The sequence below is a fragment of the Homo sapiens genome, chromosome 1 (genome assembly GCF_000001405.40).
Source record: "Homo sapiens chromosome 1, GRCh38.p14 Primary Assembly".
NCBI lineage: Eukaryota > Metazoa > Chordata > Mammalia > Primates > Hominidae > Homo > Homo sapiens.
Window position 1 is genome coordinate 182,572,689 of NC_000001.11, and position 17,214 is coordinate 182,589,902.

The window sequence follows — 17,214 nt, forward strand, 5'->3', positions numbered from 1 at the left end:
ACCTCATCCAACACTAATTACCTCTCAAAGACCCCCATCTTCAAATACTAACACATTGGGGGGTTAGGGCTTCAATGTATGAACTTGGGAGGGACACAATTCACTATATAGCAGTAATTAAGAACAGCAACAAGTAAAACTGGGTGCATAGTACATGCCAGGCACTGTACTAGGCACTTAGGCAAGCCTAAGAGAAAATCTCCACAGAAAGGAAAAAGGAAAGCTGAATTTCCCAGGGTCTCCTCCAGAGGAAGGTTGTGCTGTTCTTTACCCAAATCATCTTGAAAGCCCACTGTGTCCTAAAGCTTGTGGGGTAGAGAACGGAAGAGCTGCCCAGGGGTCGGCTCCAAGACTTACCTCTCTCCCAGGCTGCAGCTCCAGCAAAGACCCACCAAAAATCAAATGTTAAAGGTTCTTCTCAACCAGTGAATTCAAGGAGTATCTTATAACTTAAATACACTACACACTTATAACACACCAGGCACCAAGTGAGGAAATGGGATATGATCTCTGCCCTCCCAGGCTTATTGGAGAGACAGGTAAATGCCACCAACTGCTGAGTAAAGCACACAGGGATAGAGCTTTTACCCCTGAGCAAGAGTACAGAATCAGCCTGCCTAATACAGGACCTGATATGAACCACATGCTCAATGAAATGTTTGTGACGATGACAACTGAATGAGAAATGTTTGCAGAATGTCAACAGAAACTCTCAGAGAATTCAAGCAGACGGAAAAATGATCATTTCCTCCCTTCTCTCACTACATACTAGGCCCACATTATTCCAGAATTACTAGAAAGTCAAAAATAACTCCTTTTCCCATTTTCAGACAGCAGGATGACCTTTCTTAAAACTTATCCAGGAATTACTTAGTGAATATTTTCTATTGTAGATATCACCCACTCCTTAAAGTGGAAATGTCACTTAAAGAAAATCAGACTAAATAAGACAATTTAAAGTTTTATTGAGTAAGCTTCACAAATGGGCATTTTAATTGACATGTCCAGGTGCTCATTACAAATCAGAGAACCAAAGCTTCATTTTAAAAGTTAAAGCAATCTTGCTGCTCATAAAGTATTTTTTAAGCCTTAAATTTGTTCCTAATCAACATTTAATTTCATTCAGTGGTATCTATTTATCCATTGCTAGATACCTCCTTTTCAGAAAGAACCTAAGGTACTGTTTTATTCCCATTACAAAGCTCCATCTCAACCACCACAATGATTCATGGAAAGAACATCAGACTTAGCACCAGAAAATTTGTTCAAATCAAGATAGTAACACTTCCTAGCTATACGTCCTAGAGGAAATCAAAATGTTTCTAACCTTAGTTTCCTCATCAGCAAAATAGGGATAACAATGTTGACCTTAAAGGATTGTTTTGAAAATTAAATAAAATAAAATACTCAGATGTAATGTATACATTATAAAGCACCAGAAAAACGTAAGACAGTATTATTATTCATGTACGAAGATGGTTCATTCATTATTCAATGAATATTTATTAAACATTCCCACTTGGCAGACTTTTTGCTTGGCAGTGAAGATACAAAGTCAAGAAAAGACAGCCATCGCCCGTGAGGAGCCTACATTCCAGTGGAGGAACCAAAACTAAAAGGCGGAGGAAAGCTCTGGGTGCTTGGGAGCCAGAAGGAGCTCCTAGACTGGGTATGGGAAGTGAGGGAGGCCTGGGAGCCTCCTGTGGGGCTGACACCAGAAGGAACTCCATCACTACAGATCCAGCAAGAGTAAATAAATCTGAGTCCCTCCTCTGTGGGGTGGTCCACACACTCCACAGTCCTGGGCCTTAAGCTAGTTCAAAAGCATCCCAGCCCCTTAAGTCAGGTTTTCTCAACCTCAGCACCATTGATATTTTTGTCTGGATAATTCTTTGTTGCAGGGGCTGTCCTGTGCAAGGCAGGTTTGGCAGCATCCCTGGTCTTTACCCACTAAATGCCATAGCATGCTCCCCACAAAGCTGTGACACCAAAAACTTCTTCAGACTCTGCCAAATGCTCTCTTCAGTGCAAAATTGCCCCCCAGTTGAGAACTACTGCCTTAAGGTCATGGAAAACCAATGCAGTTGGTTCTGGAAGGAGTGGAATTCATGCATCCAGTGCCCAGACTTATACTAGATGCTCAATAAATACTGAATGAATGAATGAGATTCCTGGAACCCCTATATATGTTTTGGGCCTCATCTGGAAGAGCCCTGGAAGGATAGTTAAGTTTTAAGGTGCCCAAATGAGAGGTACCAATAACACCACATAAATTTATAAAGTGCTAGGTATAAATTGAATAATCTTGGGCCAGTAGCTCACACTCTCTGAGTCTCAGGTTCCTCAGTTCTTAAATGGGGATGATAATCCCTGTTTTGCAAGATCATTGGGAAAATTAAGTGAGAGAATTGTAACATATGCAGCATTAGGGGTCAAGGCACTCATTCTTTTGGTGCAATTGACAAAAGGAATCTTAGCAGAATGTCCTCCCAGTTAGTGGGTAAAGCTTATGGACTAGTGTAGTCTGGGTATATATTGCTTTTGTTATAGACATATGGAATACACGATGCCAGGGACTGACATATCAGCTATGCAACTCATCCCTCACAAGCAACCTGGTGAGTTAAAAGGCCCAGAATGTTGTGATTTGCCAAGGACTCTACAGCTAATAAGTAGTTCCCTGAACTCCAGCAAATCAGTCCATCAGCACCCAGGGCTGGCCAACCCACTGGCCCCACCAGCTCCATCACACTGAGGCTTGTTTGGACTGTGGGTTTGGGGGAAATGCTTTCTATATTCTGTGTTCTGTAGTTTTGTGTAGACATAGATCACCAGATCTGGAAATGTCTTCTGAAAATACAGGGAAGGGTCTCCAATTTTTAATTTCATCCTGAAATAAAACACAAATTGTTCAGCATGCTTGCCCCAAATTATTCTTCCCCGCTTCACAGCATATGGCCCTGAAGATCTCTTTGCTCGCTTGATTTCTATTGCAGAATGAATAAGGACTTTGGAATCTGACAGAGCAAGACTCCTCCCCTGACTCTTCAACTAATTGTGCAACCTTTGGCCACAATCTTTCTGAACTTTAGATTGTTCTTTCATAAAATGGAAATAGTGCAATGCCACAATCCTCTACCTACAATTCCAAAATCCAGAAGAGCCCTGAACTGCAAGGCTTTTTTGTGAGTTTGCAACTAACATCTTTGTCAGCAAAAGCTGATCTAACTAATGTGGGCTATTTTTAGACGTATATAACTCTACCTTCACTTTATCTAGCTGTCCAGTCTCCTGTGTTACTTCACAGAAGGGAGTCACTAGCTCCTGTTCAATTTGTTTTACCATTTATCCAACAAAAAAATGACAAGGAAGATGAAAGCCTGCTGGACATGTCCCTCATTAATTGTAAGGCAACAGTGATAGCCCTTTTACACACAGAGGGAAGGAATTACTTTTCTTTCATCAAAATAAATTTTCTTTTTTCCATCGTAGATATAAACTTAGAATTGGATTTTTTAAATTGTTCTCATTTCACATATAATTTGTAGGAATGAAAACAATACTTACTTTTTATGCTTTTCTTCATCAATGTGTTCTCCCAAATTCCGGATGAACTTTAGCAGATCACCCACAGTGTTCTGGTAGAAATTGCCTCTTTTTTCATAAAACTTATTCATTTTTTTCATAACACATTCATTAATCTAAAAAAACAAAAAATAACACAAAAATGTGGTAGCAACACAAAATAAATCCTGATGAAATATTCATACCAAAAGGCAAAATATAAATTTGAATATATTCATATATTCTATAATTACCAACTAATTAATAAAGCAAAATAATTTAAAAATGGAAGTAAATGCTGTATACCAAAATGCTAACTATAATTGTGTCTGGGCTGGGTGGGGTGGCTCACATCTGTAGTCCCAGCACTTTCAGAGGCCGAAATGGGCGGATCACCTGAGGTCAGGAGATTGAGACCAGCCTGGCCAACACAGTGAAACCTCGTTTCTACTAAAAGTTTCTGCTAAAAAATTAGCCAGGCGTGGTGGCGCTGCCTGTAATCCCAGCTACTTGGGAGACTGAGGCAGGAGAGTCACTTGAACCTGGGAGGTGGAGGTTGCAGAGAGCTGAGATCGCACCACTGCACTCCGGTCTCAGTAACAGAGCAAGACTCCATCTCAAAAAAATAATTTTTTTTTTTTCAAGACGGAGTCTCACTCTGTCACCAGGGCTGGAGTACAGTGGTGCGATCTTGGCTCACTGCAACCTCCGCCTCCCGGGTTCAAGCGATTCTCCTGCCTCAGCCTCCCGAGTAGCTGGGATTACAGGCACCCGCCACTATGCCCAGCTAATTTTTTTTTTTTTGTATTTTTAGTAGAGACAGGGTTTCACCATGTTGGCCAGGCTGGTCTCAAACTCCTGACCTCGTGATCCACCCACCTTGGCCCCCAAAGTGCTGGGATTACAGGTGTGAGCCGCCACACCTGGCAAAAAAATTAAAAAAATTTTAAAATTAAAACTATATATATAATTGTGTCTGGATGTGAGATTATAAGTATGTTCAAATGTGTGTCTGTATTTTCCAAGTAAATTGTTTTCATAAGAAATTAAATATATTAAAATATGGTTAAAAAATCTTTGACTACTATACTAGGAAAGTCGTTCATTATACTATACAATATTTTTATCCTGTGGCCACCCTTTCAAATTCGTACTTGATTACATGTCTTTCTTTAAAAGGGCTATTCAGACTGAAACTGGGCCTGGCAACCATGGCCAAAGTGAACGGTTTTGTTTGTTTGTTTTTGTTTTTTTAGGTATATTTCCAAAAGGAATAACTAATATTGTTAAAGTGATCACCCCGCCCAAAGCAATCTACAGATTCAATGCAATCCCTATCAAAATACCAACATCATTTTTCACAGAATTAGAGAAAAAATCCTAAAATTCACATGAAACCAAAAAAGAGCCCAAATAGCCACAGGCATCTTAAGGAAAAAAAAACAAAGTTGGAGGCATCACATTATGATATACCTCCAATTATTGTGCAAGGCTAAGATAACCAAAACAGCACAGTACTGGTATAAAAATAGACACATAGATCAATGGAACAGAATACAGAAGCCACAAATAAAGCCACATATCTACAACCAACTGATCTTAGACAAAGTCGGCAAAAACATACACTGGGAAAAAGACACCCTATTCAGTAAGTGGTGCTGGGAAAATTAGACTGCCATATGTAGAAGATTAAAACTAGACCTCTCTCTCTCAGTGTATACAAAAATCAACTCAAGATGGATTAAAGACTTAAATGTAAGACCTGAAACTATAAAAATACTAAAAGAAAACCTAGGAAAAACTCTTCTGGACATTGGTCTAGGCAAAGAATTCATGACTAAGACCCCAAAAGCACAAGCAATGAAAATAAAGAAACAGATGGGGTTTAATTAAACTAAAAACTTCTGCGCAGCAAAAGAAATAAACAGAGTGAACAAACAACCTGCAGCATGGGAAAAAAAATATTTGCAAACTATGCATCCAACAGAGGATTGATATCCAGAATTTACAAGGAACTCAAACAACTTAACAATAAAAAATAATAACACCATTAAAAAGTGGGCAAATGACAAGAATAGACATTTCTCAAAAGAAGACGTACAAATTGCCAAAAAGCATATGAAAAAATGCTTAACATCACTAATCATCAGAGAAATGCAAATTAAAACCAATGAGATATCATCTTATACTAGGGGCTACTATTAAAAAGTCAAAAAGTAACAGATGTTGATGAGGATGCAGAGAAAAGAATGTACTGAGTATCTGCCAAAATAAAGCTGTAACCTCTGCTTCACAGGCTGAAGCAATTCTCATGCCTCAGCCGCCCAAGTAGCTGGGATTACAGACGTGTGCCACAATGCTTGGCTAAGTTTTGTATTTTTAGTAGAGACAGGGTTTTGCCATGTTGGCCAGGCTGGTCTTAAACTCCTGACCTCAAATGATCCACCCATCTCGGCCTCCCAAAGTGCTGGGATTACAGGTGTGAGCCACTGCACTCAGCCCAAGAAATCTTATATCAAAAAGATACCGGCACTCATATGTTTACTACAGCACTATTCACAATAGCAAAGATATGGAATCCACCTAAGTGTCCATCAACAGATGATTGGATAAAGAAAATGTGTCTGGGCCATTTCAGCCATAAAAAAGAAGAATGAAATCATGTCTTTTGTGGCCACATGGACGGAACTGGAGGCCATTATTTTAAGTGAAATGACTTACAAACAGAAAGTCAAATATCACATGTTCTCTCTTATAAGTGGGAGCTCAATAATGTGTACACATGGATGTACAGAGTGGAATAATATAATTGGAGACTTGGAAAGGTGGGAGGGTTGGAGGGAGAGGGATGAGAAATTACTTAATGGGTACAATGTGCGTTATTCAGGTAATGGTTACACTAAAAGCCCAACTTTACCACTACACAATATATCCATGTAACAAAACTATACTAGTACCCTCTAAAATTTATATTTTAAACAAGGTTACTTGCTTCTCCTTGCCTGCAGGTGTCCCAGGGCAACTCCTTTCATATCACAGTAATGTCATCCTCTTTGTCTGTGCTTGTCACCCTCATAGATACAGAGCCATAGATGGCTCTCATATTTAGAAAGAGTTTGGGCTACGAGATCAAGATGCAACAGTCAAGAATCCAGTGGGTCACTTAGGAAGAGTAACTGATGAAAGAGCAATGCTAGTGAGGATGCTGCTGAGACTGGCCAGGTGCACTCTGTGCAGAACACCCGTGAGAAACGCCAAGCACGTATGTGTGGCAGGATGGGGCAAGTCAAGAACCAATACAGTCATACAAGCTGGAAAACTTGGGCTCCAGACCTATGCTGACAAAATTAATTGTGTGACCATGAAAATGGGCAAGTCAACAGAAAAACAAAGTGTAAAATGGGAATTAAAAGGTAAAACTTGAAGTTAAAACCTGAAGACTATCAAAATTCAATATAAGCCCATGGAATTTAGGGAAAAGAACCAATAAATTGGGAAATAAAAGAACAAGTTCCTCTTTCCAGGTCTGCCAATCTCTGACTGTCCAGCATGAGTAATTTGAGTGTGGTCTCTGAGCCTCAATTTCCTCAGTGAGTAAATGAGTTGGTAGACTTGATGCCATCACAGCTTCATGTAGTGGTGTGGCTTAAGCACATGGCCTCTGCAGCCATCCTTCCCAGCTTCAAATCCTGGTGCACCCCTTACTGGTTCTGTGTAGTTGGAAAAATTATTTGTCTGTGCCTCAGCTTGCTCATCTGCAAAATATAGATGATTGTCTCAGAAGTTGTGCTAAAGATTAAATGTGGTAACTCATGTAAAGTCTCAAGAACTATGGCTGCCACATAATCATAATGATACTACGTAATCATTAGCTATCACTATCATAGCTGCTTTCAAATTTCTTTGTTTCTACAAGTTAAAATTTTAGCCAAAGTTTGATAGACATTCATTTAGTAAAGAGTCATGGCACATCTACTCCATGCCAGGGATACAATAACTGACAAGACAATGGGTAGTCTCTGCCTTCATGGAACTTACAGTCTAGCAAGGAAAATGGACCGTAAGCCAGTAATTATGAGTGTGATGTGCAGTCTAGAGACCAGTGAGGGAAGGAAAGCAAAACAAGAATTAGGAGAAGCAGAGTCCCAGGTCAGGTCTAGGATAGGAAGCTGTTGGTTTCCAAGACCTGAAGATTATGGGTTCTCCCATAGTGCTTTGCACATGTCCCTGGGATGCCCAGCACACATCCCACAGCATCATTTCCATGGGCTTCTCAGCCCCACAGGGACACATTGTATTCTGCTTTGTATGCTCAAGGCCTTGCATGGGCCTAGCACATAATTGGTATTGTATAGATGTTTGTTAATTAATAATGAAAGTTCTGACAGTACTGACTAGATTGAGATGATGACTAATTTTGTAGAGTTCCACTATAATTAATGCAAGTTAGGTGGAACTTTTCTTAAAGAGAGCAATTTGAAAGATCATCTTTCCTTCATAGTCTATTTCCTCAGGCAGAATGTAGGTCTGTGTGTGGATCCTGAGAGCTGGGCTGTTTACAGGCAGTGGAGGCAGCCAGGCTGTACCTGGACTGAAACACCTCATGGTGAAGCACTTCCCTTGGATTAAGCTCTATTTAGTCAGCTGCTCGTGCCATAATGGCAATAGGATTATCAGCTAAGTGAGGGAAAGGCTCATGGGCTGGGATAAGGCCATCCAGGGGGAGCCTGAATAACAGTCTATCAGAGGGGCATGGGTCTGAATGGGAGAGAGGGAGGGCCAGCTTCTGAAAGTAGAAGTAGACACCCCGGCAGGGAGCCTAGGGGGATAGGGATGGGAGGGCAGGAGGCAAAATCACCTCTTTGAGCCTCTGGTTTGCCACTGGTGTAAAATAAGATAGAAAAACTAACATAAAACATTACACAAATTCTTATTCCTGGACTAACCCCTGCACTATAGGAATTGTTCATACCTTAGTCGTCCACTTGTCAAAACTTTTGGAATGTTCAGAAGGCCCAGGTTGCAGTAGTCTGAGGATCTCACTTTCAGATTTTCGTGTTTTGATGTCGGATTCATTTCCCACATTCCGAAGCGTCCTATAGCGGCTGAAGATGACTAAATGATCTAAATGATCATGATCATCCCATCCCTCCCTTTCCTTTTCCAGAAAAAGAAAACCGTTAGATTTTGGTGTTTTTTGTGCTTTCTTGGTTTTTCTTTCTTTTTTTTTTTTTTTTTTTTTTTTTTGAGATGGAGTCTCGCTCTGTCCCCCAAGCTGGAGTGCAGTAGCGCAATCTTGGCTCACTGCAACCTCCACCTCCCGGGTTCAAGCAATTCTCCTGCCTCAGCTTCCCAAGTAGGTGACATTACAGGCACCTGCCACCACACTCGGCTAACTTTTGTATTTTTAGTAGAGACGGGGTTTCACCATGCTGACCAGGCTGGTCTGGAACTCCTGACCTCATGATCCACCCGCCTCGGCCTCCCAAAGTGCTGGGATTACAGGCGTGAGCCACCGCGCCTGGCTAGATTTTGGTTTTTAATAAAAGTAATACAACCATGTCTTCAAAAATTCTGCATGATAGGAGAGGCAAGCATCTCTTTTTTTCCCCTCCTTATTCTTCAGAAATGAAAAGCAGACTCCAGAGAGGTTAAGTCATCTCTCCAAGGACACACAGCCAGTAAATCCCAAGCTAAGAAAAAAGCCTGGGTCTCCTGATTTGCAGCCCAGACTTCTGTCTGCACCACCTTACCCTTTCCATCCTGGAGGCCTGTGGCATCTGCACAAAGTTTTACTTACCTCTCCCAAGTCCAAAAGAAGGGATGACCCAGCAGGTCACTCAGACAGTCCCTCACATGTTCCCCAGGATGGAAGAGACGATGAATGAGGTCCTTAGTTTCCTCATCTGGAGAAAGTTGAACCACCTCTTCATTACTTTGAGCTTTCAGATCCTCAAATGAGATGCTTCCCTTCTTTACCACATAGAGGACCAGCCGTCCAAGGTCCTGCACAAAAGCCATAAATCAAGCCAAAGATGCTTACTAATTATTTGGGTAACCCTGGAAGGAGTGGTGCACGCTATTAGCAAACAAGATGATGGGAGGAATCTCAAGGAATTTGTAGGCTTGTTAGGGAGGGAAGGCACAGATGTGTGCATACAGACCTCTTCAAGGCAGTATATCGCCCATACCACTTAGTTTTATGAAGAGTAAAAGATACATATAAGTCACAGTTGTTAGGGCAGACTGCTTGGAGGAAGAGAGATTTGAGCTGGGCCTCAAATGTATGGACAGAATATAGATAAATTGAGGAAAGGGAGAATGCTTTAAACACAGGGAGAACTGACAGCCTGGCTGGAAACTGGGACTTTGGGTCTGAGGCTATGTCACGCAGCAAATAAAAAAGTCAGTCCAGGCCAGGAGAGGCAAAGTGATGACCCCAGGGATTAGGCCGTGGCCAGGAGGAAAGGCCAAGAAGAAGGTCGCCTAAGGAACTCTTTGCACTAGCCACCAGTCAAGGAGGGAGCTGAAATCTGATGCCACCAAACCAGGAGGCCAGACATATGGGTGGAGAGTCTCACCCACTGGGTTGAAAGTGCAGCACCCTGTAAAACTCTCCAGGAAAGACCTACCCTGACAGGGTCAGAATCAGCCTGGGGGCTTTGGTCTACAGCGGCCAATCTCCATGTCCCCTCAGGAGCAACAGCTATTTCAGAGTCCTCATCTTTTTGGCCAAGCTTAGGTTCTTTCAAGCTGGGAATTGACCTCACTCCTCCCAGGAGTTTTCAGAGAACCTTAGTATCCAGCCTTCTGCAGAGTGTAGCCCACGAGTTTGAGTTTGTGGTGAAAGAAACCTCACTTACTTTGTTCCTAGGTAGAAAAATAACTCCTCAATGAATATTGGAGATATTTGAAATTCTCTCCTGGAGAGAAGATGTGGCATGCTCAGTTTATTTACTTATTAAGGTAGTGGAGGAAGAGAGATTCAAAGAGATACAGTAAGGGTCCACAGTGACAGCCAACTCCACACCGACCCAAGCTGTTGCACCTTCCCATTGTCATCTTGAAAGCTCTGCTGCGGGAGAAGCCCAAGGAAATGCCATGGCCTACAGGGGAGTCAGGACAGTGAGCAAGATGGGGAAAGCCTTGAACATTCTTTTTTTCCTGGTTAAAATAGAATGCCCTCCAATTGCCCATAGGAAATAAGGTAATGAACTGTGACGGTTAATATTGAGTGTCAACTTGATTGAGTTGAAGGATACAAAGTATTGTGACTGGGTGTGTCTGTGAGGGTGTTGCCGAAGGAGAGCAACATTTGAGTCAGTGGACTGGGAGAGGCAGACCCACATTCAGTCACGGTGGGCACCATCTAATCAGCTGCCAGCATGGCTAAAATAAAGCAGGCAGAAAATGAAAGAGCAGACAACTTGCTAAGACTTCTGGCCTTCATCTTTCTCCCGTGCTGGATGCTTCCTGCCCTCAAACATCAGTATCCAAGTTCTTCAGCTTATGGAGTTTTGGACTTACACCAGTGGTTTGCCAGGGGCTTTCAGGCCTTTGGCCACAGACTGAAGGCTGCACTGTCGGCTTCCCTACTTTTGAGGTTTTGGTACTCAGACTGACCCATCACTGGCTTCCTTGTTCCTCAACTTGCAGATGGCTTATTATGGGACTTTATGTTGTGACCGTGTGAGTCAATTCTCCTTAATAAACTCCCTTTCATATATACATATGTCCTACTAGTTCTGTCCCTCTAGAGAACCCTGACTACTACATGAAAGAATAAGGAAGCAGAAAGAAGAAAGGTAAACTGGATTGTAGAATTTACCTCTAGATCTCTCTTGACTTCCTGTGGATCTCCAGCCCACTTGATGCTCTTATCAAAATCTGCCAGGTGAGCAGCTTTCTTAGAATCTAAGGAAAAGTTTGCAGAGGCACATTGAAAATACTCATTCTCCATAAAGTGAGAGTCAATTGATTTATATAAATATGTAACATGCTATAAAAATCATCATCTCTGTGGAAGGCAATAATAAACCTTATATCTGTATTTGCCATTCACCCCTCAAAACACTGCCATGTGCACTGTTTCATTTGATCTGTTAGGTATCTGCCAAGAGCAGCACTTACATTTTATTTTTTCCAGGCCAGGGGGTAGGAAGGGATGAGGACAAATTTAACCAGCTCCTCGTTCATGCAATTCCAGGGGCCGAAAGCACAGATTTGTAAAGGAGCTGTTCCCTTACACTGAGCTTAAATCTCAGTGCATGTCTATGGATAAGGTATGTACTCTGCTTAGACCTTTCAGGCAAGAACAGCCTTTCCTGAGCACCTATGATGTACCAAATGACTTACTATTTCATCATTGCACTTAGACCTCATAACAAACTTACGAAGGAGGCATTATCAGCCTCAAGTGAGGAACTGAGGCTCACAGTATCAAGTGACTTGTCTGAGGTTACAAAACTACAAACTAGTGAGACTAGGCTTCAAGCCACCCTAATCATCGCTGAAGCCCTGGCTTGCTCCCCCGCACCATATTGCTTCCTGGGACTTTACGGTCAGCCTTGCTTTTCTTTTAACATTTAAAAGAAAATGCTATTTTCCTTCCCTTTGTTTGGCTTGGACTAGTGGATTCTGACTTGTTCTGCCTTGGAGTCTGTGTCTTCACTACGTCACATCTTGTCCTGACATCCTCAACTTTGACCTCAATTTTGTCAGTAAGTTTCATGGTTACTGCCACCTTGTCTGAAGGAACTCACCTCTAGGATTCTCAGATTTCTGGAGCTACTTTGATCCATGACATGCCTTCATCTGTTTATTTTGCCAATGGCAATCTAAGGCTAGCCTGGTATTCTGTTGGCATCTACCAACCTTCATGTAGACTAACAGAACCCAGTTATAATTGGTAGCAGGAGACACTGCACTGTAATTATGAATTTGTTGTAATAATGATCCACAAATTGAATCATCCACATTTACTCTAGGCCTTTCCTCTCTGCAATGAAAAACTTTTCCTATCATAAACAAAGATCCCACAATTTCTAAGAGAGAATTGGGGATTGGGGACTCACCTATTAAGATGTTTTGTGGTTGCAGATCCTGGTGGGTGTATCCACAGGACAAGTGTAGTTCTTGAACAGCCTTAAATATAGATGACAGGACATTTCGGGCAAATTCATCTTCCTCATTTTCCACATCTTCCCCTCTGTGCACATCCAAACACGCTTCCAGAGTCTGCTCACAGAGGGTGACACACACAAACAAGTGGCCCCTGTGGCTCTCACTCCCATAGAATGTCACCAAGTGACTGTTCTCTCGGCTGCTTTGCAGACAAGAGACTTCCCGCTGTGCACGTGGGCTGCCCTCACAGAACGTCTTCACAGCTACTTCTTGCTTCTCATAGAACCCCAGGTAGATGCCTCCTTCTGAAGTATCAGCAATTTTGTATTTTTCATCAATAAAGAACTTGAGTTTGCCAATCATAGGGCGGTATATTCTGTGGAGATCCTTCAGGGCTGCCCCCCAGTGTGAGCTCTGAGGCTTCCAGTCTTCAGCAGGAGGGTGAAAATCTTCTTTGGCTCCATGAGAGAGAAGAACCTTCACAAGGGAATGGTCATAATTCCGCCTCGCTGTCATAACAAGATCCCCACAATCTGTACTGGCTCCACGTTTGCACAGCAACTCGGCGATTTTCTTCAGTTTGAGTTCAACAGCAAGCAGCAGTGCTGTTTTGCCATCACTGTCTGTGTCATTAATCTCTATGTGCTCTTGCTCCAGAAGCCTCTGCACCAAACCCAAGTGCTTCTTCTCCACTGCCAGGATCAGGGGAGTCTTCCCTCTTTCTCCCCTCACATTGACATCAGCCCCATGGTCCAGCAGCAGATGCGTAATAGCCTCCACATCACTATCGTCAGAGCTCAGGAGAGCATGGATCAAGGCATTTCTGCCCATATTGTCACAGGCGTTTACATCTGCCCCCATCTCATCAAGGAGAATCTTCAAGACCTCTACGTGTCCTTTTTCAGCAGCGTCCATGAGAGCTGTGGCCCCTCCTTTCCTCAGCCGCTCTTGATCCTCCTTTGTCTTTCGCCTCAAATTCACATTTGCTCCTCTCTTATAAAGGAATTTTAGGGCTTTGACCTTACCATACACAGCGGCTTCCATGAAGGCTGTGAAGCCATAAAAATCACACTCATTGACATCTGCTCCTTTAGAAAGGAAAAGTTTCAGCAGCTTCACGCTCCCCGCAATCGCTGCGAGGATAAAAGGCGTGGCCCCATTCTTCTTCCTCAGAACAGGGTCAGCACCATGACGAAGCAGAAGTTCCACAATGTCCTCCCTGCTCATTTGTACTGCGTTATGCAGAGGTGTCCAGCCCCCTTCCTCTTCCTGGAAATTAACATTGGCTCCACCTTCCAGCAATTGCTGGACCAGGTCAACATCTTCGTTTTGAACAGCTTTAATCAGCAAGTGATTGTCTTCCACTGCAGCCCTTCTACCGCTGGAGGACGTGGGTCCCTCCTGGGGGTTGTTATGATCCCTGCTCTCCATGACGGTAAATGCCACCTGCTACCACTTTTAGCCTTTTCCTTGAGAAAATGCAAATTTATCTCCTAGCACTTAATCAAAGAAGCTTTGAGTGTAAATTGGGATTCTCTGGCAACAGAGCAGCAGTATGAAGAAGGAACAATGTTCTCAGTCTTCTGACATTCCACCTGGCAACGAAGAGAGGTGCTTTGTAATTTTACAATAGGGAGAAAACACTTGAATCAGAGAAATTAATTATATTAGCATTTTTTCTAAATACATATATTTATTTCTTATAAAACTTTTAAATTACAGAATATTATAAATATATGTAAATTCAAAATAAGAAAATTATTTCTCTAGTCCCAATGCCCAGAAACAGCCAATGTTAATATTTTAGTGTATTTCTATATATTTTTTAAGACATTTGGAATTATACTCTGTAAGTAACTGTATCCTACTTCCTTTCATTTAATACCATACTATAAGTCATTTCCTGTGTTATTGCAAAGTCTTGTAAAACATTTTTCATGACTATGTAATATGAAATCATACAGTTGTTTCATTTCTCTATTACTGAGTGGTTTTCAAAAATAAGTTTTAAAGGGTTTTTTAAAATTAAAAATTTAAAAAATCTAAATGATGTTGCAGCAAATTCAGCTTATTTTAGTTTATTTTCTTTCGATAGATCTTATGATAGATTTCATATGATAGACTTCAAAGAATTTAATGACTATTCAAAAGATATGATTGTATTTAGGATTCTTAACCTATATTAACAAATTGCTTTCAATGTCATATAAATATATTCTTACCAGAGATAGGTGGCTTCCAAAAAAAAAAAAAAAAGACCATGAAAATATGCACATCAATTATTTATCAATAAAAAAAGAAGAACCCTCATTCAATAAGAAAAATATATTTCTTGGCTTTTTTTCCCTTTGCATTTCTTATGTCACCAGGAAGGTTGATCACTGTGTTTGCTGACTCTGTGCATGTCCTCTTTGTACAACCCTGTGCCCCTATTTAAAGTACAGACAATATCTGACTTATGTTTTTTGACTTTGATTTATGATTTTTTGACTTTGCAGTGGTGGAAAAGCAATAAACATTCAGTAGAAACCACACTTCAAGTACACATACAACCATTCTGTTTTTTATTTCAGCATAGCATTCGATAAATACATGAGACATTTAACACTTTATTATAAAATAAGCTTTGAGCTAGATGATTTTGCCCAACTGTAGCCTAATGTAAGTGTTCTGAGCACATTTAAGGTAAGCTAGGATAAGCTATGACGTTCAGTAGATTAGGTGTATTAAATGTGCTTTTGACCTACAATATTTTCAATTTAGGATGGGTTTATCTGTATGTAACCCCATCATAAGTCAAGGAGTATCTGCAGTAGTGAAAAGAGCTTGTACTCTGACCTTAGGGAGATCTAAGTTTGAGCTTGTGGCTGTGTAATTTTTTACTATTACTTCCTGTAACCTTGGATTGTTGAATCTCAATTTTCTATTTCCTGAAATGGAGACAAAAATAAATACAGTCATGTGTGTAAAGTACATTAAAGTATGGAGTGTTGCAAATATTAGCCACTCAATGAATGTTAGAGCTAATTATATCCCGTTATGAAAAAATAAATTGCTTAGTGAATTCTATTCTCCCTACACATGTGCATATAGCTACTACACGAATAGGCAACTGGCAGCTATCAATTTCGTCCAACTGTCAATCAGATCTGAGAATTACAGATCCAGTTCAATCATCAGACAGCCCGAAACTGTTACCTGAATATTTAAATAACTGCATCTGCTATAGAATTCACGAAGCAACCCTTTTTCAGCAATCTCACCACTCTGACAGTTTCAAAGCCTCAGAGGTTAATTGATTAGCCTCTTAGAAGTTTAATTAATTGTGCAACACATACACGATCACCAGGCAATGAAATCTTTGAACCAAAGTGTTTGTGTAGACCGTCCCCATTACAATCAGATGTGAGGTGGGCTGGTATAAACAAAGGAGCCGGGAAGGAGAGGAAATATCAAGGAAGCCCTGAGTGACGCATCAGAGTAGAGAAGAGACGAGCCTGCGGAAGTACTCCAACAGACAATCCTGCTTTCAATTTCACTTTCTCTGTGCGACCTGAGTAAGTCGCAAAGAGATGCCTGAGAAACTGAGGACATGGATAAATGACGTGTGGACTCTGACAGAACTCTGGAAGGGCACTGGAGGAAGATCCTTCCGGGCAGCCAAGGGCTGGGAGCTCCCCTCCCACTTCCCAAGTCCTCCAGCCCCTGGCCTCTCCAGTCTCCAAAGCCCAAGAATTCTTCAGGATCGACTTATCGAGGTTTTCTAGCTTTCCTCCTTCTGCCTGCCTTACCTGCTCAACTCAGACGTCTCAATTATTCCTTTGGCAGCCGCAAAGCCTGGAAGACTGCTTGCAGCCCGAGCAGTTTCCTCCTGCTGCGTCACTGAGTCAGCAGGGCGGAGCCAAGAAAGGAGTGAGGAGTGTGGGAGGGAAAGCAGCCACAGGCTCACTCTGGCACCAGGAGCAAAGCTTCTACTTGCACACCTTCTGGAGGAAAGCAATAGCCACTTTCTGTCTGCTGATGAGGAATGTGATGCCCGGGGTCATGTCACTCACCTCTCAGTCTTGCAGCCTTTCAGGTGGCAGCAGCCAACTGCATCCATCACTCTTGCATCCTTTCTTTGTCATTGCAAATTCTGGTCTTCTTGGAAGAAAGGAATGGAAAGTAAACACATATTGAGCACCTATTGTGTTCCAGACACAATGCTTTACATGCAGCATGGTCCCAGTTAACCCCTGACAATCTTGTTGATTATGAAACGCAGGCTCATAGAAGCTAAGTAAGCCCAAAGCCCAAGCCCTGTCACCTTTCTCAGCTCACTCAACTCACAGCTCTGAGGCAGTGCGGCCTTCTCAGAAGGGTACCGGACTGGCAGTCTGGAGACCTGATCCTACAGCCAGCTCTGTGGCTGCTTAGCTGAGTGACCTCAGGCATGTGATTTAACCATGTAGGGCCTCAGTTCTCTCCTATAACTTGGTTTTGAAGGTTCCTTTCTGCTCTACAAGTTCTGTTCTTGACTATCTTCCT

At 41.9% G+C, this 17,214-nt stretch overlaps 1 protein-coding gene across 3 annotated transcripts, besides 1 other annotated feature; it reads right to left on the reverse strand.

Annotated features, from left to right (window-relative positions):
• Positions 946–16,568, reverse strand: RNASEL (ribonuclease L). Of its 3 annotated transcripts, none has more exons than NM_021133.4 (7): positions 16,479–16,568; positions 12,639–14,282; positions 11,393–11,478; positions 9,365–9,570; positions 8,537–8,669; positions 3,568–3,701; positions 946–2,890 (listed from the first exon to the last, which is right to left on the reverse strand). In NM_021133.4, the coding sequence occupies exons 2-7, from the start codon at positions 14,116–14,118 to the stop codon at positions 2,704–2,706; spliced, it is 2,226 nt and encodes a 741-aa protein (NP_066956.1). In that variant the 5' UTR covers positions 14,119–14,282; positions 16,479–16,568; the 3' UTR covers positions 946–2,703. The 3 variants fall into 3 exon arrangements, with proteins under 3 accessions (NP_066956.1, XP_047283052.1, XP_047283062.1); XM_047427096.1 differs by lacking the exon at positions 946–2,890 and adding an exon at positions 7,270–7,319 and having other exon boundaries at positions 3,582–3,701; XM_047427106.1 differs by lacking the exons at positions 946–2,890; positions 3,568–3,701 and adding an exon at positions 7,266–7,319.
• Positions 16,284–16,443: an enhancer, noted in NCBI's record as "active region_2198". NCBI's record gives its function as "activates an Ori minimal core promoter by ATAC-STARR-seq in GM12878 lymphoblastoid cells {active_cell/tissue: GM12878}" and the evidence as "EXISTENCE:reporter gene assay evidence [ECO:0000049][PMID:35858748]".